The sequence below is a fragment of the Homo sapiens genome, chromosome 1 (assembly GCF_000001405.40).
Source record: "Homo sapiens chromosome 1, GRCh38.p14 Primary Assembly".
Classification (NCBI taxonomy): domain Eukaryota; kingdom Metazoa; phylum Chordata; class Mammalia; order Primates; family Hominidae; genus Homo; species Homo sapiens.
The window spans coordinates 177,957,798-177,980,364 of record NC_000001.11 but is presented as its reverse complement, the minus strand read 5'-3'; the positions used below and the strand labels follow the sequence as shown (position 1 = coordinate 177,980,364).

The 22,567-nt window shown below is 43.3% G+C and overlaps 2 protein-coding genes across 8 annotated transcripts in view, besides 1 other annotated feature; both read left to right on the top strand.

The window, feature by feature from the left end:
- The window catches only part of CRYZL2P-SEC16B (CRYZL2P-SEC16B readthrough), a 109,189-nt gene that overhangs the window by 57,612 nt on the left and 29,010 nt on the right, over positions 1 to 22,567 (top strand). For 2 of the 3 annotated variants that reach the window (NM_001356506.2, NM_001356505.2), the window contains 9 exons: positions 12,326 to 12,682; positions 14,360 to 14,472; positions 15,198 to 15,318; positions 16,086 to 16,194; positions 18,631 to 18,775; positions 19,426 to 19,574; positions 19,962 to 20,023; positions 21,390 to 21,525; positions 22,003 to 22,233. In NM_001356506.2, coding sequence (NP_001343435.1) covers positions 12,384 to 12,682; positions 14,360 to 14,472; positions 15,198 to 15,318; positions 16,086 to 16,194; positions 18,631 to 18,775; positions 19,426 to 19,574; positions 19,962 to 20,023; positions 21,390 to 21,525; positions 22,003 to 22,233 — 1,365 coding nt within the window. In that variant the 5' untranslated portion in view covers positions 12,326 to 12,383. Of the gene's footprint in view, positions 1 to 7,055; positions 7,173 to 8,897; positions 8,970 to 12,325; positions 12,683 to 14,359; positions 14,473 to 15,190; positions 15,319 to 16,085; positions 16,195 to 18,630; positions 18,776 to 19,425; positions 19,575 to 19,961; positions 20,024 to 21,389; positions 21,526 to 22,002; positions 22,234 to 22,567 lie in introns of all 3 variants that reach the window. The other variant, NR_151492.2, reaches the window with a different exon arrangement.
- Positions 1 to 22,567, top strand: part of SEC16B (SEC16 homolog B, endoplasmic reticulum export factor) — a 55,497-nt gene that overhangs the window by 3,920 nt on the left and 29,010 nt on the right. Inside the window, exons 1-10 of one of the 5 annotated variants that reach the window (NM_001390833.1) lie at positions 10,121 to 10,175; positions 12,326 to 12,682; positions 14,360 to 14,472; positions 15,198 to 15,318; positions 16,086 to 16,194; positions 18,631 to 18,775; positions 19,426 to 19,574; positions 19,962 to 20,023; positions 21,390 to 21,525; positions 22,003 to 22,233. In NM_001390833.1, the coding sequence (NP_001377762.1) occupies positions 12,384 to 12,682; positions 14,360 to 14,472; positions 15,198 to 15,318; positions 16,086 to 16,194; positions 18,631 to 18,775; positions 19,426 to 19,574; positions 19,962 to 20,023; positions 21,390 to 21,525; positions 22,003 to 22,233 (1,365 nt within the window). In that variant the 5' untranslated portion in view covers positions 10,121 to 10,175; positions 12,326 to 12,383. Of the gene's footprint in view, positions 1 to 10,120; positions 10,176 to 10,306; positions 10,482 to 12,325; positions 12,683 to 14,359; positions 14,473 to 15,197; positions 15,319 to 16,085; positions 16,195 to 18,630; positions 18,776 to 19,422; positions 19,575 to 19,961; positions 20,024 to 21,389; positions 21,526 to 22,002; positions 22,234 to 22,567 lie in introns of those variants that run through there. The other 4 variants (NM_001356499.2, NM_033127.4, NM_001390834.1 and 1 more) reach the window with 4 other exon arrangements.
- Positions 20,071 to 20,572: an enhancer, noted in NCBI's record as "OCT4-NANOG hESC enhancer chr1:177928928-177929429 (GRCh37/hg19 assembly coordinates)". NCBI's record gives its function as "activates a minimal SCP1, AML or CMV promoter by ChIP-STARR-seq in primed H9 embryonic stem cells {active_cell/tissue: H9 hESC(primed)}" and the evidence as "EXISTENCE:reporter gene assay evidence [ECO:0000049][PMID:30033119]".

The following is a 22,567-nucleotide window of genomic DNA, read 5'->3' as shown; positions in this document are numbered from 1 at the left end:
CGTTTATTATTTCATAAATAAATGAATTAATATTGTCTAAAATATTATTTGGTGAATGAAGGAGATAATTAAAAAAAATTCTCCCAGGGGTGAAATTATACCACAGTTGGATTCATTTAGTGACATAATTTATTTAATGAATGACATCTAGATCAGCACTAGGACATGGTGTCACAGTGTCATAATGTTATGAGGCATACAGAATATTGCATCCTAAGTGTAAAAGGGAATACGTCTAGCAAGCTCGTACAGAAACTACATCACAGAAGCAGTGTTGCATACAAAGAATCTACAAAATTCAGTTATGGGATGCTCCCAGAAAATAGTGAACTTTAGCCATCTCCCTTGTAATGACAGCAGACACATATGCTTAGTAATATGCTTTGGCTGTGTCCCCACCCAAATCTCATCTTGAATTCCCACATGTTGTGGGAGGGACCTGGTGGAAGGTAATTGAATCCTGGGGGCAAGTCTTTCCCATGCTCTTCTCATGATAGTGAGTAAGTTTCACGAGATCTGATGGTTCTATAAGGAGGTGTTTCCCTACACAAGCTCTCTCTTTGCCTGCTGCCATCCACATAAGATGTGACTTGCTCCTCCTTGCCTTCTGCCATGATTGTGAGGCCTCCTCAGCCATGTGGGACTGTAAGTCCATTAAACCTCTTTCTTTTGTAAATTGCCCAGGCTTGGGTATATCTTTATCAGCAGCATGAAAATGGACTAATACACTTAGAAAATCATCTTCTTGTGCCCTTCAATGTCCTCCAGAACCTGAAATTTGAATTTGGTTTTTTGGCATCATAAGTGGCTTCTATGGAAATTGTCCTGCTATGCTAAATTTAGCATTAGAACAGCACTGCTGGGGAGCTTTGCTATATTTGCAGCCACTCATTCCAGACTGATAGAGCAAGGGATGTGAGTACCATTTAAACACATGTATGCATCCACACTGTACACACACGGGCCATTTCTGTACATGGAACAGTGGGCAGAACAGTAGAACCTGCAAAATAGTATGAACCTTTATACAAGGAGAACTTGTCCCATTTGTCAGAAATTAATCTTTGAATTCTTATTTTTATGATTTAATATCTATCTATCTATCATCAGGTTGAATGAACCTATTTACACTGACTGATAACTTTGAAGGTTATAGTTATTGTATTCACATGAAATAGATTTTAAATAATTGCATTTTTGTGTTAAATATATTACTATATTACATGGCTATTACTAAGCCATATGCTCTTCCGAGCAAAAGCATTCCAATAGAAGACCTGTGGTTGATTTTCCTCTACTTGATGACTGGTACTGACACACTCTGTGAATTTGGTAAAAGTATCACTTTTATTGCCTCTAAAATGGACATTCTACTGATGCCACTGGGTAATGAAAATAATGAGCTAAGGATAGGCATCTCTGGGAAAGATAAGCTATGACTGCAATGGATTATTATGATGAGCGACAGAGCAGAATAAAAATTAAAAACAATAACCTCAGATTAGATTATGTCAATAATGAAGAATAGCTAAGATAAAAGTTAAATATGAACTGCTATGATAAAAGCTAAATAAGAACATATACTCTGAACAGCCTAGAAATGAACTTTTCTGCTATGCTATTTATTTATTTATTTATTTATTTATTTATTTATTTATTTATTTGAGACAGGGTCTTACTTTGTCACCCAGGCTTGAGTGCAGTATGATCATAGTTCACTGCAACTTTGAACTCCTGGGCTCAAGTGATCCTTCCACCAAAGCTTCCCAATTAGGTAAGACTACAGGTGTGAGCCACCATGCCCAATTAATTTTTTCTTTTTTGTAGAGACAGGGTCTTACTATGTTGACCAGGGTTTCTTGAGCTTCTGGCCTCAGCAATCCTCCTGCCTCAGCCTCCCAAATTCCTGGGATTACAGGCATGAGCCATCATGCCCTGCTAGAAATAGTGCTATGCTCTTTTAAACAACGTTGATACCAACCATTTGTTGGACACTTACCAAGGTGCAGGGAGTGTGCTGAGTGCTTTTCCTAGATCATGCATTAATTTATTTATCAAATACTTATTGTGCACCTCCTACAGGCCATGCACAGTACATTATCTCATTTATTCTACAACAATCTCATGAAGATATTCATTATTATACACTCATTTAGCAAATGGGGACACTTAGCCTGAGAGGTTAAATAACTTGCCTGAAGGCTCACAGCTAATCAGCAGAGGCATTGGAACCCAAATCCAATTCTGACTGCAAAGCCTGAGCTCTCAATTCCCATAGTGTACCAAAGTCATGAGCTTTGTATATAGTTTAGCTTCTCACACCTTTAACAGAATATAAGTAACCTGAAAGAGAGAAGAGCAAAGATTTATTGAAAACCCACTCCTGTAATTAATAGGCACTTTCTATGGTGTTTTTCCATGTATCATTTCATCCACATCACAGTCCTTTTAAATGAGATTTCATTTTTAAAATCTCATTTAAAAATTTCATTTAAAAGATGGGCTCATAGAGATTAGGCGATTTTTCCAAAGGCACATGGCTAGCAAATGGTGTAGTTAAAACCAAATCCAGGTTTCATTTTCTATTTTCTTTCCTTTGGGCCTTTGCTACTTCCCAAAATGATGAAGGAAAGGACAGTTTTTAAGGAGATATAAACAAGATCACAGCTCTGTACCCAGAGAGGAGCAGATTGCTGAGTGGTATGGGGGCTGTCTACCCTATTCAGACAGCTGCAATGAGAGTCCGAGTCCCATGTGACTGTGTGTATCATGCATCAGGAAGTAACATCTGGACTCTAAAATACTGGGTTGTGTTTCTATATGGAGCTGAAAGACCTACTTTCCTTGAAGGACAAATACTACCCATCTCAGGTAAACTGAGAGTGTCACTAGCCCCCTAGGTACCTTCTAGTATCTTATATAATATGATATTTTTTATCCAGCAATAGAGAGTAGTTGAAGTTCTATGACTGTAAATGAAAGAGCCATGTGTGCATGAGGGCCTTGGCTTGAGTCTGTCTGGCTTAGACACTGCTTCGCCTGCAGGGATGGAGACTTTCCACAGATCCTTTCCAGCTCATTGGTTCTGTGTATCTGAATGTCTGCTTCTGTTTAGAGTGCATCTCTCAAAATTTTCCAACAAATGGCAGGGAGTGACTTCTGGGGGTACAGGGTATGTGTGTGTGAATGTGTGTGTATGTGTATCTGTCCCATTGCACATGTAAAGTTTCTTTGAAGTATCATGCTTCATCTTAAAAATTAAGGCAAATTTGAATTTCACTCCAAAACATTTGTATTTGTTTTAAATTAAGATACTATTAAAATTGTTTAGAAAAGAAAATTGATGAGTATCCGTGGCATCCTGCATTGTTCCTGAAACAACAAGTACTCCAGTGTGAGAAGCACTGGGCTGCATTTTCTTAAAGTTTCTAATTTTGTTGTTTTCACCTTAGCCCATTATTTTTTTCCTGTGTTGTTGTATGACACATTTTCTCTATTTCTTTTTGATCTCATGGCTCAATGGGGGCATTGGATTAAGTGTCAAGGAGAAATTGTAGATTTCACAGCAGTGATGAATAATCAGTTAATCCCTTACTGATGACTTGTGCAGAATACTTCTTAGGCAATTTATGGTATTTCCAGGGAAATAATAACTGTTAACATTTATTGTGCATTTTGTGATTTGCCAAACACTTTGTAGGGTTTTAATCTAATTTTACCCTTATAATAACTCTGTGAGGTAGGAGGTTCTATTATTATCCCTATTTTACAGATGAAGAAAAGGAGATGCAGAGTAATTTGCCCAACTTCACACAACCAGCATAGTAGGACTGGGATTCACACCTGGACAACTTTATTCCAGGACCACCAAGTTGTCTTGCTCCTTTGGGGAATTTACATCCTGTCGACCTGCAGCTGAGAGAACATTCCAAGAATATTCCAGTCCTACTTCACTTAGTGGGTTTATGAGTCACCTCTGCCTGCTGGAGCTTGACATGGGGTCAGAAGTCACAGCAGCATCCATCTGCCACCCACTGTTCTTGATATAGGGGGCATCAATCAAACGGGAGGGGTGAAGAGAGGAGGAGGTTGGGCCACCTCTGCCAGCCTAGGGCTAATAAGGAAGCATAGAGTCATTCTTCTTGAATGATAGACTGCCTCTCCAGCTCTTGGCAGCAGAGGTGGATGCAGAGCAGGCAGGTTTGCAGGCAGCTACGTAGGTGGCATTTGAAGGAGTCCTTTGTGGGTGCAACCACAGGGTGCCTTGGTCCTGTAGGAAGCCTGCATTGTGCCTAAACCTTCACTCCTAAGGTTGTGGTAAGAGTAACAATCCCAGGACTGGCACTGGTAGCTTATGGCACCTGTGCCAGGCTAATTGTCTCTGGCACAGGCACCATCTTTTCTTGGCACACTCCCTCCTAATAACTAGAACAGCTGAGCAGCACAGGACGCTCTGCATCTTGTCTGCCACCCAGCTCACCTGAAGCAAGGGGCTGGAGTCTTGGTGGCCAACACTGGCTGAGGCCATGAGAGTTCCATATCCCAGGACTGTTTCCAGGGGGTAGCTTAGTTGGAGTCAAGAGGCTGCTCTGCACTAAACCGTCACTCCCTGATTCATTCTTGGAGTCAGAAATATGAGATGCTTGCTGACTAAAAAGAGCCACAATGCATCAGATGTTGCTGGAAATACATGTGTGGCCATTATCTCATCATTCCCACTTTGATTAAGAATTTTTAAAAAATTATTGTAATGTAATGTTTTTCTTTCACTGTCTTGTTGGAGTGGGCCTCTCAAGATTAGCTAGGGACTTCATTTTCATAAAGTATGCAGATAATTTGTGTCTGTTTGTGTCTCATTTATATCCCACACAGCAGCCCTTTATCCACACTTAGGTCAGCCCCCTAAACTCACTGCCTCAGCCTTCTCTTTTACTTTCTCTGGAAACTCTCTTTCAATATTTAATTCTATACTCAGGCTATGAAAACTATTGGGTACAGTCATACAGTATAAGCTGTTGCTGGTATACATTTAAGGTGTCCATTCATTTATAAATAAAATTTTATCGAGCTCTTGTCATATGCCAGGCACTGTGCAAGGCACTGCGAATATTGCATGGAACAAAGCACAGAAGGCTGACATCCCCATGGAGCTTGAAGTCAGCCTAGGTGTTCAATAACAGCTGCATTTCCAGCCCACTTGTTACTCTGAGCACACGTTCTTAGTTAAAGCCCACTCCTATATTCCACACTGGCCATTCCAAACCGTCATAATGTTTCTCAAGTCTCTTACCAAATTCTCACCCTAGAGGTGGCCAGTAGAACTTGGCATTCTACTCCACAGGGAATTCTTGGTTTCTGTCCCCTTATGTTCAAACTTATCTCCACCTGTGCCCATCTTCACCTCTTTTTCCCTGATTTAGAGGAACAGGTGCCCTTCCTCGGCTAGGTTTAACTTTTGTTCCTGTGCTCTGGATCCCATGTGATGCATTTTCTCTGAGATTTGTTTCTTCAGTAATTGTGTATTTCCAGTCTCTTCATATGAATCAGCAGAAACCCTCTCTTGTCTAGTCCACCCTAAACCAATTCTTCAAATCCAAGTGCCTCATGGTAGCCCCAACCCTTTTCTTCACATCTAGGGTTCTGGAAAGAGTAATTTTACTTGCTGCCTCCTCTTCCGTAATTTCCATATGCTGTAGAAGTGATTTCTATGTCTAATCCCTCACTCCCTTGACCATGGCCCTACTGAAATTGTTCCGTTAAGATCATCAAACCTCTTAATTGTCAAATCCAGTGATCCAGAGAACACATTTTTACTTGTTGTCTTTCTCAATATTCCTCCTAGGTTTGGCATTGTTGACCACTGTCCTGCTTTTGAAGCCATCACCTCTGGCTTCTGGGACACCATCCTTTTCTGGTTATCTGCCCATCTTTCTGGCACCTCCATGTTGTCTTTCATAGGCTCCTCTTTCTGTGTCCAGTTCTTCTATGTCCACCTCAGAGCTCCTTCCTCAGACTTGTCTTCTAAGCATTTCTTCAGTGATCCTGTCTGTGTCTGTGGCTTCAACCACCACATCTCTCCTCCATGCTTTCTCTTGAGCTCATTACAGTGAACTACTTATTGACCATACTCACCTCTGTGTCCCACAGGCCCCTCACATTCAGCATGTGCAAAACTGAACACATCATCTTCCCCACCAAACTGGCTCCTCTTCTAAGATTATTAGCCAAAATAAAAAAAAAAGGTAGCATTTCATCTCCACAGCCTGAAAACTTGGATCATCCTTGACTTCTCCTTCTCCCTCATCTTCTACAGTCAACAGACCATCAATGCATGTTGATTATATTTTATAAACATATATATATATATTCTATATGTCCCTTCTCCTCCAGTCTCTCCACAGCTGCTCTCGTTCAGGCATTCATCTGTCCTGCTTGATTTATGGAATAGCCTTGAACAGCACACCTACCATTTCCAGTCTCCTGCTTTCCGCTGTGCTTCTTCCATTAGAAAAATCAGTGATATATCCATTAGAATGATGATTACATTGTATTACTATTGCATTGTACTGTGACTCATTGTATTATGATTCAATGTCTACTGCTCTGCTGAATTGAGAGCTTCTTTGGGGCAGGTATTGCATGTTATTTATCTTTGTATCCCCAGTGCATGTGATAATGATGGGCATATAGTAGGTGTTCAATAAACACTTGTTCAGTGTACAAACGACTCAACCTCTATCAAGAAAAGCAGACTGAGCACAGTTAATCAATCTTGGAAGTTTTGAGCACTGTCCCATTTTAGCAGCTTGAATGCCTAATTAGTAACTGATGTGACAATAACACATTTGATGGTTGAACTAACACTATTGATTAAAAATAATGTCAGTTAATTTTGCCTTTTAAAATAATATACATTTATTGTAGAAAAGTTAGAAAATATGGATAAGCAAGAGGAAGAAAATAAAATCATCCACCATTCCATTACCTGGTGGATAACTACTGATAACACGTTGATGTAGATCTTCTCAACTTGTTTTCTAAATTTTTACTTTCAGTAAAGGATTAGGATGAAGCCTGAGGGATGTCTTAAATGCTGAGCTGCCCTTTGCAAGAGTAACCAGTCATTAAATCACAGTGCTCAAGGATTCCTGGCAAACCTGACCTAGATCTAGGTGGGTGTTCACATCCATCAGCACTAATCCGGTGGCTAAACATTAGCAGCATCATTAACAGTGATAATACTTTTGCTAGACAGGTGTCAAACTAGGGTAGTGTCTTAGTCAGTTTGGGTTACTGTAACAGAAAACCATAGACTAGGGCTTAAACAACAGAAATTTATTTCTCACCCTTCTGGAGGCTGGGAAGTCCAAGATCAAGATTCCAGCAGATCTGGTGTCTGGTGAGGGCCACTTCCTGGTTTGCAGATGGCCATCTTTTGGTTGTATTCTTACACACCAGAGAGCAGAGAGAGAGAGGAGAAGCAAACCCTCTTGTGTCTTTTTATAAGGGAACTAATTCCATTGACAAGGCTCCACTCTCATGCCCTAATTACTTCTTGGAGGCCTACCTCCTAATACCATCACATTGGGAGTTAGGTTTTCAACATATGAATTTTGGGAGGAAACAGACATTCAGTTCACAGCAGGCAGTTACTCTTGTTTGAAGCTAGACCCTAGACAGTGCTGTCCGGCATTTGGAAAGGAGGATGGAGACTGGGAAAGGAAATTCACATAAATTAGTAAACTTCTAGGACTCCAATCCTGGTGCATAGTTGGGATGCAGGGCAGGAATCAAGTATGAGGACAGAGCACTTGGGGCAGGATGATGTGAAGACTGTAGCCATTTGGGCATGAGGGAGCCTACTGGATTATCCAAGAACACTGCAGCCAGGACTTGGGGTGGCAAGACTCATTCTGGTCCACCTCCTGGTGGGGATTGAGCTCCTAATGTATTGTCAAACTGGGTCAATTTGGTTTAGAAATCAGGAAGAATTGAGCTGCCAGGTCGAAAGACTTAGTAATTGTAGTTATGTGGGGCTGGGAAGGTAGGAAATGATAAATCCTAAACCCTTTGGAGTGGTGAGATCCCATCACAATCTAGTTAATTTTGTGACCCATATAACTGTTGTATGCCATATGTCTATATAGAATAATTAAAGCTAATTAGAATTAATTTTGGTTGGTGAGTGTTTGAAGAGTTTCATAATAACTCTAGAGATAATTAGAGATACTTTGGGATGTCACAAAATAAGCATTTAGAATAATTTGACTAGATGTTTAAGCCAGGGTTGTGCAATGAAGGCTAGTAACAGAATGACAATTCTATAATTGCAAGAATGCTGAATCAGGAAGTAAGAGTTTGGGGTTCAAATCAGTATGCTGCTAAACAGGTTCTCTGAAATAAACCAGCAACCCACCAACAACCTTGCTTTGTAGCAGTTGCCAATTTCTGTGGTGTAAATACTCCCACCATGGTGGATTTCAAGTTTTCCATGGTTTAACAACCGGCTCACACAATTCCTGAATATTTAATAATCAGCTCTTACTAAACTTGCACTGGTGTGCAAGGCAGCTAGAGCACACCAGTGTAATTTTCACTGAACTTCTAGGTAACTTTGTGATCTTGGGTAAATCATTTCACTTGTTTGGATCTTGGTTTTATCATCAAAAAAGCATAGTTGCTAAAATAACCTCTAAGGTCCTTTTCAAAGTTAACATTCCCATAATGCAGCTGGTGTTACAGGGCAAGACTAATGTCACATTATATGCCAAAAGAGTGACATCAAGAACTTTTGTGAATGTTGTTGTGATATATCAGAACATATAATTTGATATCACGTCAGTGTAATCATCACCCACATTCTGATTCCTGCTGTTAATGTGCATGTTCTTCTCTAGTTCCTCTTCCCAGAAGGATTAAAAACAACAGTGCAGCCATTAGAGAGCCAAACTTCACAGCCCAAGAGTGAGGTAAGAAACCATTAGTGGCTAGGCATGGTGGCTTACGCCTGTAATCCCAGCACTTTGGGAGGCTCAGGCAGGTGGATCACAAGGTCAGGAGTTTGAGACCAGCCTGGCCAACATGATGAAACCCCTTCTTTACTAAAAATACAAAAATTAGCCAGGGGTGGTGGCACGCACCTGTAATCCCAGCTACTCGGGAGGCTGAGGCAGGAGAATTGCTTGAACCTGGGAGGTAGAGGTTGCAGTGAGCTGAGATTGTACCATTAAACTCCATCTCTGGGCGACAGAGAAAGACTCTGTCTTGGAAAAAAAAAAAAAGAAACCATTAGCTACAGTCAGAGAATTCTATGCTCAGTTGCTGGGTTCTAGAGTCAGCTGAGGGGCTGAGAGAAAATCTTGTAGCTTAGGTACATGACCCTATATGACCATGAGACCCAAGAGGGGTGGTTTTCCCTGGACTAGTAAGGACAGACATGAGAGACTAATTTGTGTCTTTTATATTTATGTGTGTCAAATCCTGGCCCTTAATAGGAACACAGTAAGCATTTGTTGAGAGAAAGAATAAACCATTTGGGATTTTTTAAAAGAGCAAATTCAGAATTTTAAAATATTAATTCAGAAGTAGTCATGTGCTTTTCTGCGTTTACCTTAATAATGCAGAAGAAATGTATATTTCAAGTGCGAGAAACTACTTTCTTGTTATAATGGAAAACTTTTTAGTGCCTTCAGTTCAGTACTGGGGATATAAATCTGCCTTCCAGCTAGATGACAGAATTTATTACATAACCAGAACCCAATGGTGAGAAATATACATAAGAAAAACCCACACTGGGCAAACCAGGTGTTTGCTCCCACCAGTGAGCGTGTCCCCTTCCCCATGTGCCTCAACCAGTGGAATTAACTTGTCTCTTTGGGAAGGAAAAGATAATATTGATCTGCAGGGCATACTTACCTATATATCATGTGCTGCTTTACCAACATTTCAGCCCCGTAATGACCCTCATAAGCTAAGCATTGCCATTCCCATTTTAAAGAAAAAGAAACTGAAACTCGGAGAGGTTAAGTAACAGAACCAGCTAGTGGTAGAGCCCCGAGTTAACACCCCAAAGGTGGTGCTTTTCTCGCCAGACCAGGCTGCCTTGGGGCTTCTGGACTTCCTCTTCCTGATGTCTCTCTTCCGTGATTGCTGTGGGAATTTGGATGATTTCTCATGTGAGTGAACCTGGCTCAGCCCATGCTCAGGCAAACAGAAGCGCCAGTCTCTGACAGGGTTCTGAGCAAATTCGTCAAGTCAGGCGGGTCCTGGGCTGCGGTATCTGGGCTGTACTTTGCCCTAATGAATCAGCTCCATGGAGGTTGGGCAGTTGCAAAGGTAACTGACATGATGTAGATCTGAGGGCCTGGGGAGTCTTGGTAGATGTGGCACCTGGACTTTGACAGTCTCCAAGAGGAGAGGAGGCACTCTTGGGCCAGGTCCCTGGAGCAGCGCTGAAGGAAGGTGGGAAGCCATCAGAGCAGGTGTGTGGGAACACTCGCTCCCTTCTTTCCCCTCTTTGAGCTGGACGTGCTGTGCCGTCAGATTAGGAAAGGCAAGATTGCCTTTACTGGGGCTAGGAAAGGTCATCTACATGAATGTGTGAGTCTGATTTGTCATCATAGATGTAATTCCTTCATTTTGAGAATCGAAGGTGTTATTTATTTGGTGTCCTTAATCTGAGGACTGATTTGCTGGAGTTGATGTCTCTTGGCAGCAAAATGATGTGATTTCAGTGGAAAGATTGGGTGTTGCACCTTTGCAGTTGGGAAAGGGCTGCCTAATGAGACTATCTGGGGACAAGGAGAAAGCAGGTTTCTTCTCATTCTGCTTACTTGGTCCAAATGGTTTTGAGTTCCACCAGCCTTCAGAAAAGGCTCATGTGCCCTTCCCTGTGTCTGGGACATTTGGCCTTTCCTGGGATTTGCTGGCAAAGGCTGTCATTGCACCTGGCTTTTTCAAGGGAGTGAGATGATATGGGAAGGAAGCCAGAGGTTCCCCTGAGTTGTGAGTGACCTTGAGGTGGGAGGCCCCCTCCGCACCTTGTTCTTCTTGTGTGTTCTGCCGTCTCATAGCTCTTGGCTCATAGCTGTCGACCTCGGCTCCCTGGTGTTTGAGCAGAGTGACGTCTCAATTTCAACACCCACTCTTTTGACCTTTTGTTCTGATATGAATTTTTATATGAGGCTGGGACCTTCAGTAGTGGAAACAAGTTAACTGATTTGATCAGAATCTTGCAACCTAAAACAGTTCCTAAGGAAGAAAAAAATCGAGGCCGACCTAGCCTGTGGATGCTCCTGACACAAGGAATCCCTGAGCAAGAGTAAGATCTGAGGCGTGCTTTCCTTTTGTGGGTGCAACCCCTGTCCCCCGCTACCCCGTGCAATGGGCAGAGGAACCTGGAAGGTAATCAGTCCTTGGAGCAATTTCCCTTTTTCAGGATTACGTGGGGGAAAATTAGTTTGATGCTAGGGAGACTTTCAGCATTTAAAATCTCCAACCGGGAAGAATCCTGAGATATGGCCTTCTATTTTCTTATGAAAACAATCCCAAATTTGCCTCTTGTTGGCTCCTCTGGAGGAGGAGCAGGTATGACCATATTATATAGGTTCTAGTTCTTTGAGGGGGTTAATGTAAGGATTCAGAAAAGGTGCTTCTTGAAAAGGTCAGTCTAAATTTCTTTTTGTTTAATAAACATCTTCAGCCACTCATACTACCCTAATCTTTATCCTTGATAACACTGCTATTTATTGAGCATTTTAACATGTTAGGTAACATGTTACGCACTTCGCATAGGTTATCTTTAACTCTGTCAATAACCTTGCAAGGTAGTCCTTACAGTCTCCATTTCATGGGTAAGGAAATTGAGGCTTGAAAAAATGAACTAGCTAGTTAAGTGGCAGAGTTAGGATTTGAACTCTGATCTAGCTCTCTGCAAGACCCACTCTGTTTATGATACCACAGGGCCTCCGCTGTAAGTGTTAAATAAACACTTGCTGGGGGAATATGTGAAGAAACATCAACTGGGATTCCTTGATAGCATTTTTAGCTGTACCTATTATTGTTATCTGTCTCCCTTGCCTCCCTCATCTGTCGTTGTTCCACATGTACTTTTTAATTTTTTAAGCAATATTAATATAATTGTCTAGTCTGTTATTTGCTTCATGTATCTGAGATTGTTTCTCAGATTTCTCTGTATCCGTGACCATATGGTTTGTTTTAGATATATTTCGAGGACCATAGCTGCTCTTTTCACAAAACCTAATCAACCACTATGTTTGGATATAGGCTTCAAGTGATGATTTTTTCCTTTTTCTTTTGTCTGCAGGAAGATAAAATAACTGCACAACTTACTCAAAACCCAGGACAAATTCAGAGAGTCAAGGATGGAACTTTGGGCTCCCCAGAGGCTGCCCCAGACACGAGGGAAGGCCACAGCACCCTCAAAGGATCCAGACCGAGGGTTTCGGAGAGATGGACATCATCGGCCTGTCCCTCACTCTTGGCACAATGGAGAGAGGTTTCACCAATGGCAAGACAACCGTGGGAGCCCCCAGCCACAGCAGGAGCCCAGGGCAGACCATCAGCAGCAGCCCCATTATGCATCCAGGCCAGGGGACTGGCATCAGCCTGTGTCTGGAGTTGACTATTACGAAGGTGGTTATCGCAATCAGTTGTATTCAAGGTATGGCTTTAGGGCTTGGAATGAATGCAACTCTCCTAAATGCGTATGAATAGGTTGTTCTTTTCCTTCTTCCTTTTCCTTTTATTTTTCTCCCCCTTTTTTCTTTTTCCTTCTCTACCTTACTACGTGGCTTTAGCTAAATCCTGTCCTCTCCCAAATTTGTTTTTGATGACTGAAGATAGTATTTCTCTCCTGTTTTTCCCCTAGTGGAGCTTCTTAAAGAAGCCATCACAAATGCCACTGGGTATGGGGGCTTGGGGAGGCAGTGTCAAGGGTAGAAAAAGTGGTGAAATTCAAGACAGCAGATGGAACCCTCTTGCTCTGGGATTGCAAAAGTTCATTTATGTAGACTATGGAAAAGCTTTTCTTGGAGATCCCTATAAGGAGTTCCTCGTTGTCATTGGACCACTCTACCTTGGGATTAGCATGACACTACCAGCACCAAGAAGAGTCCTAGTGCCTACGACAGTACCCGGAATGGAACAGGCATACCAATAATCTGTATTGAATGAATGGGAACTTAAAAAAAATTGACCTCAGGGAAAGCAGATAGAAACCTGCAGGCTCCAAGTTCGGAAGGAAGAGGTTGCAGTGAGGTCATTCTATCCAGGTTGGAGAATCTGGAATTCCTGCTTCCCTGGTCTGTAAGCACTGGACTTAATATTTCATGGAATGTTGGAAGCCGTCTATGTTCTACTTCAGCTTTTCCAGTTGGGGTGATATTTACCTGCTTACAGATTCAGGGTTGAAATTATGACAATTATTATAAAGAAATTTATCCCTAAGAAATACTAAAGAATTGCTAATTGGGCCAGGCTCCTGGATCACGCCTGTAATCCCAGCACTTTGGGAGGCCAAGGCAGGCAGATCATCTGAGGTTGGGAGTTCGAGACCAGCCTGGTCAACATGGTGAAACCCCGCCTCTACTAAAAATACAAAACAAAACAAAAAAATTAGCTGGGCGCGGTGGTGCATGCCTGTAATCCCAGCTACCTGGGTAGAGACGGGAGAATCACTTAAACCCGGGAGATGGAGGTTGCAGTGAGCCAAGATCACGCCACTGCACTCCAGCCTGGGTGACAGAGTGAGGCTCTGTCTCAAAAAAAAAAATTATTAATTGATAAAAACATTAATATTATGATGTTCCTCTCCCCAGTCTTTTTGGATTGTTGAATTCTCAAAGAGAGGCGTGTTCAGGACAGAGGCAATAAAAGTAATCAGACTTAACATAGTCCAGTTTGACTTTTAAATCTCAACTCCATCTGGGATAAGCATGGAAATTACGGTGGTGTATTGGAGACTTAACACAGTCATCTCAGGAAGTGGTTTTCTCAGATAATATCAGGATGGAGTTTTCTAAGATAATATGTATGTGTTTGGGGAGTGAGAGTTTTACTACAAAATAAAAGAGTTTTAAATAAAAAAGAGGTTTTTAGAAAAAGAGTTTTAAGTAAAAAAAATTGTACTATAAAAATTCTACTCCTGTTGTGCAACAAAGGCCTGACTCCTGCTTTGATTCTGTTTACAGGATCTAGAATTAACTGTGGCTTTCAAGCAGATTCTAGGCTGGGGTCACAACTCTGTCCTCTGAACCTGTTTAGTTTGTCAAGTTCTTCATTGGTTTCTCTCTTTACTACCCTTGTCCTCAACTGACCAGTCTTCTTTGTGATATTTTAGGCCAGGTTATGAGAATTCATATCAGAGCTATCAGTCTCCCACAATGAGGGAGGAATATGCTTATGGAAGTTATTACTATCATGGACACCCACAGTGGCTGCAGGAAGAAAGAGGTATGGAAAAGTCTCCAAGAAGCCTCTGGGATTTGGGGATGGGGCAGCTGGTCTGAGAGGCAGGGGAGAGACCAAAGGAGCCATGTTCAGACCCTCACCTTGGGCATCCTTTCTTGGCCAGACGAGACCATAGCAGAAACACTCCTCCTAGATGTCCTGAGAAGAGATATAAAGGAGTTGTTTTCCTTTGTATGCATAGATGATGGTACTGTTACTAGCACTATGGGTAGTTTGTACTTCATCCATGTTTTTTCTCCTACTTTGCCTTATAGCCCAGATTATATAGTCTTTGACCAAGTAACAGTGAAGTCAGTTCTTAAGGACATCTGCTGGGCTATAGTAAGAGTGTATCACTTCACCCTGAGGACAGCAGATATGCACCCAAATGAGTGTTCTACCGTATGCTAATAGGTATAGGGTGTGTCTTAATGGCAGCATCTGAACTGCTAGGAAAGATAAATCTGTTTCAACATTGAACACACACACACACACCAATCCCCATCGTTGTGCGGTTGTATAGATCCATGCTAACTAGTTCAGAGGGGACTGAGAGGCGTCCTATGGACTTTCTTTATTAGCTCTCACCTATCTATTTTTTCAATTTGGAAAATATGTTTTTAGATCTACTGTGCTCCAGGAGCTCCTCACAGCTCACTAATATCTTTCTAAGAACTTTCAGAAACAGGAAGTGACCTGTCTTGATTTTGTTTTCTCTGAGGGTGCAGTGCCAAGGCAACGGAGTCCTTATATCTGGCACGAAGATTACCGAGAGCAAAAGTACCTTGATGAACATCATTATGAAAACCAGCACAGTCCATTTGGAACAAATAGTGAGACCCACTTCCAGTAAGTGTGAAAGGAGAGGCCAGTTTGACATGATGTTGTCAAACTCAGACTATGTCGGGCAAATCTTCTGGCGTCTGATGCTGCCATCTCACCTCCAGAAGCCCATGTACCTTTGTTGTAGCCACAGGGATATGGGAATATCCCAGGATGGGCCTGGCCAGCTGTTAATATGGACCCTGGGAAGGGAGGTTCTTATCACTGACAGTCTGTTCCCAAAGCTGGGCGAGTCTGAGTCCTGTGAGGTTCCTTGAGGTCTGTCCTAAAAGAGGACTTTAATTCTGTGTTGGCCTTAGAACAGATATGGCCTAGCAAAAGTTCTCACGATTAGGTCATGAGAACTTACCTGGTGCTGTGGTGCTTTTCCTCAGCCTACGCCTGAGCCCTGAGAATGGGCCATCTCCCTGTGGTAAGACAAGACAGGGAAGAGAGTTTTGCTCAAGCATCTGTCCTGGTGCTTGCAGCTGTGGAATTCACCAACCTAAACACTCTGATGTAAGTCATTCCAGAATGTCAGGCTGTAGAGACCAACCCTTCTCATCAGGGCCTGAGGCCACTTCCAGCCACTGAGCTGTGGAACTCCAGCACTCCTGTTTTTCTGGGATTAGTAGATTGAGGTGGTGAGTAGGAGGAAAATGCTTTCTCCTATGGCACCCAGGCTGACATGGTACCTGCCCACGCTTTGGAGCAGGTCAGCTTCCGGCGGAGAGTGCCTCAGCCTTGCTGGCTTGCCCAGGACCCCGCTCACTGCTCCTGTCATTTTGCTGCAGATCTAACAGTAGGAACCCTTGTAAAGACAGCCCTGCTTCCAACTCTGGACAGGAGTGGCCGGGGGAGCTGTTTCCAGGGAGCCTGCTTGCTGAGGCCCAGAAAAATAAGGTAACCTAAAGTGACGTGGGGGCTGGAGACTGTGGCCATGTGTCGCAGCTGACACTGTCAGCAGTGGCAGAACAGGGCCCTTGGGGATGGATGTCCAGTGGCCAGCCGTCTGGAGGACCCATTCCTCCCCTCTTGGCAGAACCTCCGCCCATGCCTTCCTTTTTTCCCTCCTTACTGCCTCAGTCTTAGGCATCCGAGGCCCTGAACTGAACTCCTTTGCATTTTTATCAAATTGACAGGATCAAGAAATGTCACCTAGCTCACTCCAACATACTGGGAAAGAGAGGACGCTGTCATCAGGTGTTAGGTGTTAGGGACCCCAGGGGACTAGCAATTTGGTTTAATCCAGGAAGTGGGAAATTGCTAGAATCTTTGAATTCAGGTTTGAGAAGCAGGGCTTGAAACCTTTTCTAACTCTTCATTCATCCCTTTCCTCTAAAAATCTTATTGTATGCGCCAGCTGGGCCACAAAATGGAAATCTTTTTTAAAATAAACTTTTTATTTTAGGATAATTTTAGATTTGTGGAAAATTTGCAAATATACTACAGAGATGGGTTCTTTTCTTTTGAGACAGAGTCTCACTCTGTTGCCCAGGCTGAAGTGCAGTGGTGCAATCTCGGCTTACTGCCACCTTCACCTCCTGGGTTCAAGCGAATCTCCTGCCTCAGCCTCCCGAGTAGCTGGGATTACAGGTGCCTGCCACCATGCCCAGCTAATTTTTGTATTTTTAGTAGAGACCGGGTTTCACCATGTTGGCCAGGCTGGTTTTGAACTCCTGACCTTGTGATCCACCCACCTCGGCCTCCCAAAGTGCTGGGATTACAGGCCTGAGCCACCACGCTCGGCCAGAGATGGGGTTGTAATTTTGAAAGTCTTGTATTAATCTTGTCTCCCTTATTAGGTTTGTATGAGGTCAATTTCTTTTGTATACTTAGTGCTTAATAGAGTAGGGCACATATTATTATGACTAATAGTAACAATACAATGACAGCAGCCACATACATATGTACAGCACCTTACACTGTACAAAGAGCTTTACTTTTTATTTTATTTTATTTTTTTGAGACAGAGTCTCACTGTGTTGCCCAGGCTGGAGTGCTGTGGCACAATCTCGGCTCACTGCAACCTCCGCCTCCCTGGTTCAAGTGATCCTCCTGCCTCGGCCTTCCTAGTAGCTGGGACTACAGGTGTGCACCACCATGCCCAGCTAATTTTTGTATTTTTTAGTAGAGATGGGGTTTCACCATGTTGGCCAGGCTGGTCTGGAAATCCTTACCTCAGGTGATCCTCCTGCGTCGGCCTCCCAAAGTGCTGGGATTACAGGTGTGAGCCACTGCGCTTGGCCCAAAGAGCTTTTGAATCCATTATTTTACTTGTATGCACACAAGATGTAAATTCAATGAATTTCTTTATTTATTTATTTAGAGACAGAGTGTTGCTCTGTCACCCAGGCTGGAGTGTAACAGCATGATCATAGCTCACTGCAGCCTTGAACTCCTGGGCTCAGGTGATCCTTCCACCTCAGCCTCCCAAGTAGCTGGGGCTATAGTTGTGCACCACCATGCCCAGCTAAATTTTTTTATGTTTTGTTTTTTTGTAGAGATGGGGTCTTGCTATGTTGCAATTTGGGGTCTCAAATTCGTGGGCTCAAGTGATCCTCCTGCTTTGGCCTCCCAAAGTGCTGGGATTACAGGTGAGAGCCATCATACCTGGCCCCATGAATTTCTTTACACCTGCATCCAAGGGGAAAGCACAGTACCTGGAGCATAATAGGTGCTCATTAAACAGTCAATGAAGGAGGGCCAGGCATGGTGGCTCACGCCTGTAATCCCAGCACTTTGGGAGGCTGAGGTGGGCAGATCATAATGTCAAGAGATTGAGACCATCCTGGCCAACATGGTGAAACCCCATCTCTACTAAAAATACAAAAATCAGCTGGGCGTGGTGGCGTGCCTGTAGTCCTAGCTACTTGGGAGGCTGAGGCAGAAGAATCGCTTGAACCCAGGAGGTGGAGGTTGCAGTGAGCCGAGATCATGCCACTGCACTCCAGCCTGGTGACAGAGTGAGACTCTGTCTCAAAAAAGAAAATTGTTTATGAATGAATACATGAATTGCTTGAAGTATATAGGGCAGATATGATTATATCACAGATGAAAGCACTGAGCTCAGAGAGCCTAAGTCACGTGTCCAGGGGCACAGCAGCTGAGTATAAGGCAAAGCTGAGATTTCAATTCAAGGGCCCCTGACCCCAAGGCCTGCACTCTTTCCATTGGGTCATAATATATCCTTTGGCAAATGCCTATCAACTTGATTATCTCTTTTTATCCTTTCAACACATCCACTTTCACCGTATGTATTTTGTTTCTTTGAAGGAACGCTTGAGAAGACCAGCTCTCTGAAACTTCTTCCTGTGTGTTTTTGTTTTTAACTTTCAGCCATCATTGGCTAGTGAGTCCAACCTTCTCCAGCAGCGTGAGTCTGGTCTCAGCTCCAGCAGCTATGAGCTCAGTCAGTACATCAGAGATGCCCCGGAGCGGGATGATCCCCCAGCTTCAGCAGCTTGGAGTCCAGTTCAGGCTGGTGGGTTCTAAAATGATCAGAAGAGTTGATTGAATCTGATGTGGAAGGGCTGGGTGGCAAGTCTCTGGGAAAGTCAGCCTTACGATGGATCATTGTCCACCTCATTTGCTTATGTAGGTCACCTGGGCAGAGAGGTCAACTTTGGTTCCATTTTCTCTCTTTTTGCTTGTAATAGTAATTGCATCATAGCTGATTCCTGGAAGGGAACACTGCCCCTATCCATTATCAAGTTGGGAAAGGAGGCACTCAGTGGTGCTTTTAAGAAAGGGAAGACCAGAGAGAATTAGGAAAAGCAAAAGCAAGATGCAAAGCTTCATTGCTTTGTCTGGATGTAGGAACTTTGTCATGAGTATAGAGGCCATGAAAGCCAGAGACTCCTTGGCCTCTCAGCATCACTGAGAGTCTGGGCTGAGAGCATTATCATTTGGACTGAATCATCAAGCCCACGCATTGTATTCTGACACCTTCTCAGAGGCTTAAATCTGACTGGAGCAGGGAACATGGGCTTCTTCTAATTACACAACCCACCCAGAATCTTATTTTGGTTCAGGCAGAATTTGGGCAGAAATACATCTGTGGCATATTCCTAAACTAAAGAAAAGTGATGGAAGTAACGCTAACAATGTCCATCTGTGTCTGTTGGTCAGAAGATGTCTCCTCAGCTGGTCCCAAAGCACCCATGAAGTTCTACATCCCTCATGTTCCTGTGAGTTTCGGGCCAGGAGGTCAGCTGGTGCATGTAGGTCCCAGCTCTCCCACTGACGGGCAAGCAGCCCTTGTTGAACTGCACAGCATGGAGGTAAAGAAGACCCAGTGTCCCTGGAATGCTGGCACACTGCTTACCCAACTACTCCTAACATGCTTACCTTGCTTTCCTGTGCCTGAGCCGGGGCATCTCCAGGAATGGGATGCTCTTGCGGGAAACTGGGCCATGTACCCCCTGGATTAGGAGGGTGCAGGAATGGGTGGGGCTCTTCTCTGAAAGAATTGATGCTACAGTTGTGTTTTTCCTGAGATGTCAATGTCTCATCTTTAGCAACAAAATTCACTTTTTTCTTTCTGCTTTCTCCACAAGGCCTTGAGCCATATCCTAGCCCCACGGCCTTGGGGTCTGACACTAGACTTGACTGAAAGGGGCCTAGGGTGGCCACAGTCTTAAACACAAAATCTGATTGTTTTATTCCAGGTTATTCTTAATGATTCCGAAGAGCAAGAGGAGATGAGAAGTTTCTCAGGACCCTTGATTAGGTATAGTGCTGTAAGAGCTGCTGAGTAAGGGCTTTTGAAACCTAGAAAATCTTCCTGCCCAGATCAGCATTTTGGAGATTTGTTCTTGGTTTCCTTGGAAAAAAATATCTGTCCTTGTTGGAGTGGAATTCTCTGTGCTGCAAGATAGAACCAGATGTGGCCTGAGTCATTTTGACAAGCCATTCAATAGTTGAAGGACAGAAAGAAAAATTAGCATGACAGTTTAGAAATCTAAAACCAGTTCCATTATGCAGAGGCTGCATGGTTGGAAGTTTTAGCATTCCGTGTGCTTGATAGATGTTAGTAGAAAAGTGGAGCATCGCCTGGGAAGTCACTGACAAGTGGATCATAGCAGAAACAATTCTTGTAACAGTGGCTTTTTCCTGGAGAGGTAAATAAGATCGGCAGTGTTCAAGTTACAGAACAGTGTGCAAGTGAGCCCTCTGCAGTACTGAACTAGGACTGCTTTTAAATGTCTAGTTATATTTCTGATAAATGTAACTCAGGGCATCTTTGTTGAGGAGAGAGTCCTTGCTGGATGACAGCCCACGTGGGTCTCAGGCTCAGGCGTCTTACTGACTAGGAATACCATGGTGGACAGGTCAGTTAGCCCTCTCTGAACCTTAGTTTTCCCCTTGAGAAATGGTATAACACCTGCTCTCCCTACCCGAGGCTTGTCTATGAGTCTCAAGTCAGATTATGCACATGGAAAGTATCATCACTACTATATAAATGTATTCCTCAAATGGCATTTGACGGTTCCCTCAAGTAAAAATGAGTGTTATCTCTTTCTTACAAACAGGTATACAGATATGGGGCAAAAAAGCGAGTTGGGTATTCAAACACTGGGGTACTAAGCCTAACTTGGCTTTGATGTTATTGGATAATCTTGAGCAAATCATAATGCCAATCATATTGATCACTTAATATATGCCACACAATTTTCTAATTCCTTTTTGTATGGAGGTAGGTCCTTTTACTGTCCCTATTTTAGGGGACAAAGCTGAGGCTCAGAGGAGGTAAGAAACTTGTCTAAACAGAGAAGTGGCAGAGCCAGATTTAGATCCAGGGTTGTCTGACTCCAAAGTCTGCTTTTACTTGCTTTCCTGTGCAGTGACTTCAGGTCTCTGAGCCTCTGTTTCTTCATCTATAAAGGGGGTGCATGAGAGAATCTCTGAAATTTCTTCTTGTTCTATAAGAAAATAACTATCCTATAGCTATAGACTCATTACCTTAGCCCTGGCTTGTCAGATTTCTATCTCAATCACAGCCCAGCCAGCACTTGCACACTTAGGAGGAGCCTGGGGTCCGAAACAGGGAAGTGTCTGCCTGCTCACTCTTTGCTCCCTAAATTTTTTCCATGTAGGGAAGATGTACATAAGGTGGATATTATGACGTTTTGCCAGCAGAAAGCAGCTCAGAGCTGCAAATCTGAGACACTGGGGAGCAGAGACTCAGCTCTACTGTGGCAGCTCTTGGTTCTCCTTTGTCGCCAGAATGGGGTAAGTTCTGTTCTGGTGGGAGAGCAGGTGCAGGCTGAAATTTAAGTCTTCATGGGATAGATAAGATTATGTTTATGACATGATTATGAAAAGCAATATTAAAGAAGCCACAAATTGCCCCAAGGGAAAAAATTGCTCAAATGTCAATGCGAGTTTGCTAACGCAGATCTTCCCTGATGATCTTCTTCCTTGGTCTGGGAAAATTGTACAGTTTCTGGGTTATTGCACCAGCCAGATAATATACCTGTGAAATTGTGAATGTTTCTGGTAAGCTTTATGGCTCCTGACAGGCAGAAAATAACCATGATAGTGATGCTGAAGTCTGAAATATAGCAATCTAACAAAGGACTGCCTTATGTTTGCATAATTGGCTTCCATGTGAAGAAGGCAGGCTCCCTGGTGCCTTCCTTCTCCAGCTGGGGCTGCCAGCCTGAGGACTCATAGGATTCTCCCCAGATGATCCTCTTTGCCTTACAGTCCATGGTGGGGTCTGACATCGCTGAGCTGCTAATGCAAGACTGCAAGAAGCTGGAGAAGTACAAGCGGCAGCCCCCTGTGGCCAACCTCATCAACCTGACCGATGAGGACTGGCCAGTGCTGAGCTCTGGGACCCCGAACCTGCTCACGGGAGAGATCCCCCCCAGTGTGGAGACACCTGCGCAGATCGTGGAGAAATTCACTAGGCTGCTCTACTATGGAAGGAAGAAGGCAAGTATGCCCTTCCCCCATACTTATTTTGAAAAAGCAATCACCATCCCTCTCCACCACTCACCGCTGCTCAAATTATGTGAATAGTATATACTCATTTCAGGGAGGATGCAAGAAGTTCGGAAAGACAGAACAAAGAAAATGAAAACACCCATAGTTCTACCACTAAAAGACAATGAACTATTAAATGAAATAAGCCAGGTACAGAAAAACAAACATCACATGTTCTCACTTATTTGTGGGATCTAAAAATCAAAACAATTGAACTCATGGAGATAGACAGTAGAAGGATGGTTATCAGAGGCTGGGAAGGGCAGTAGGGGAGGGTGGGAGG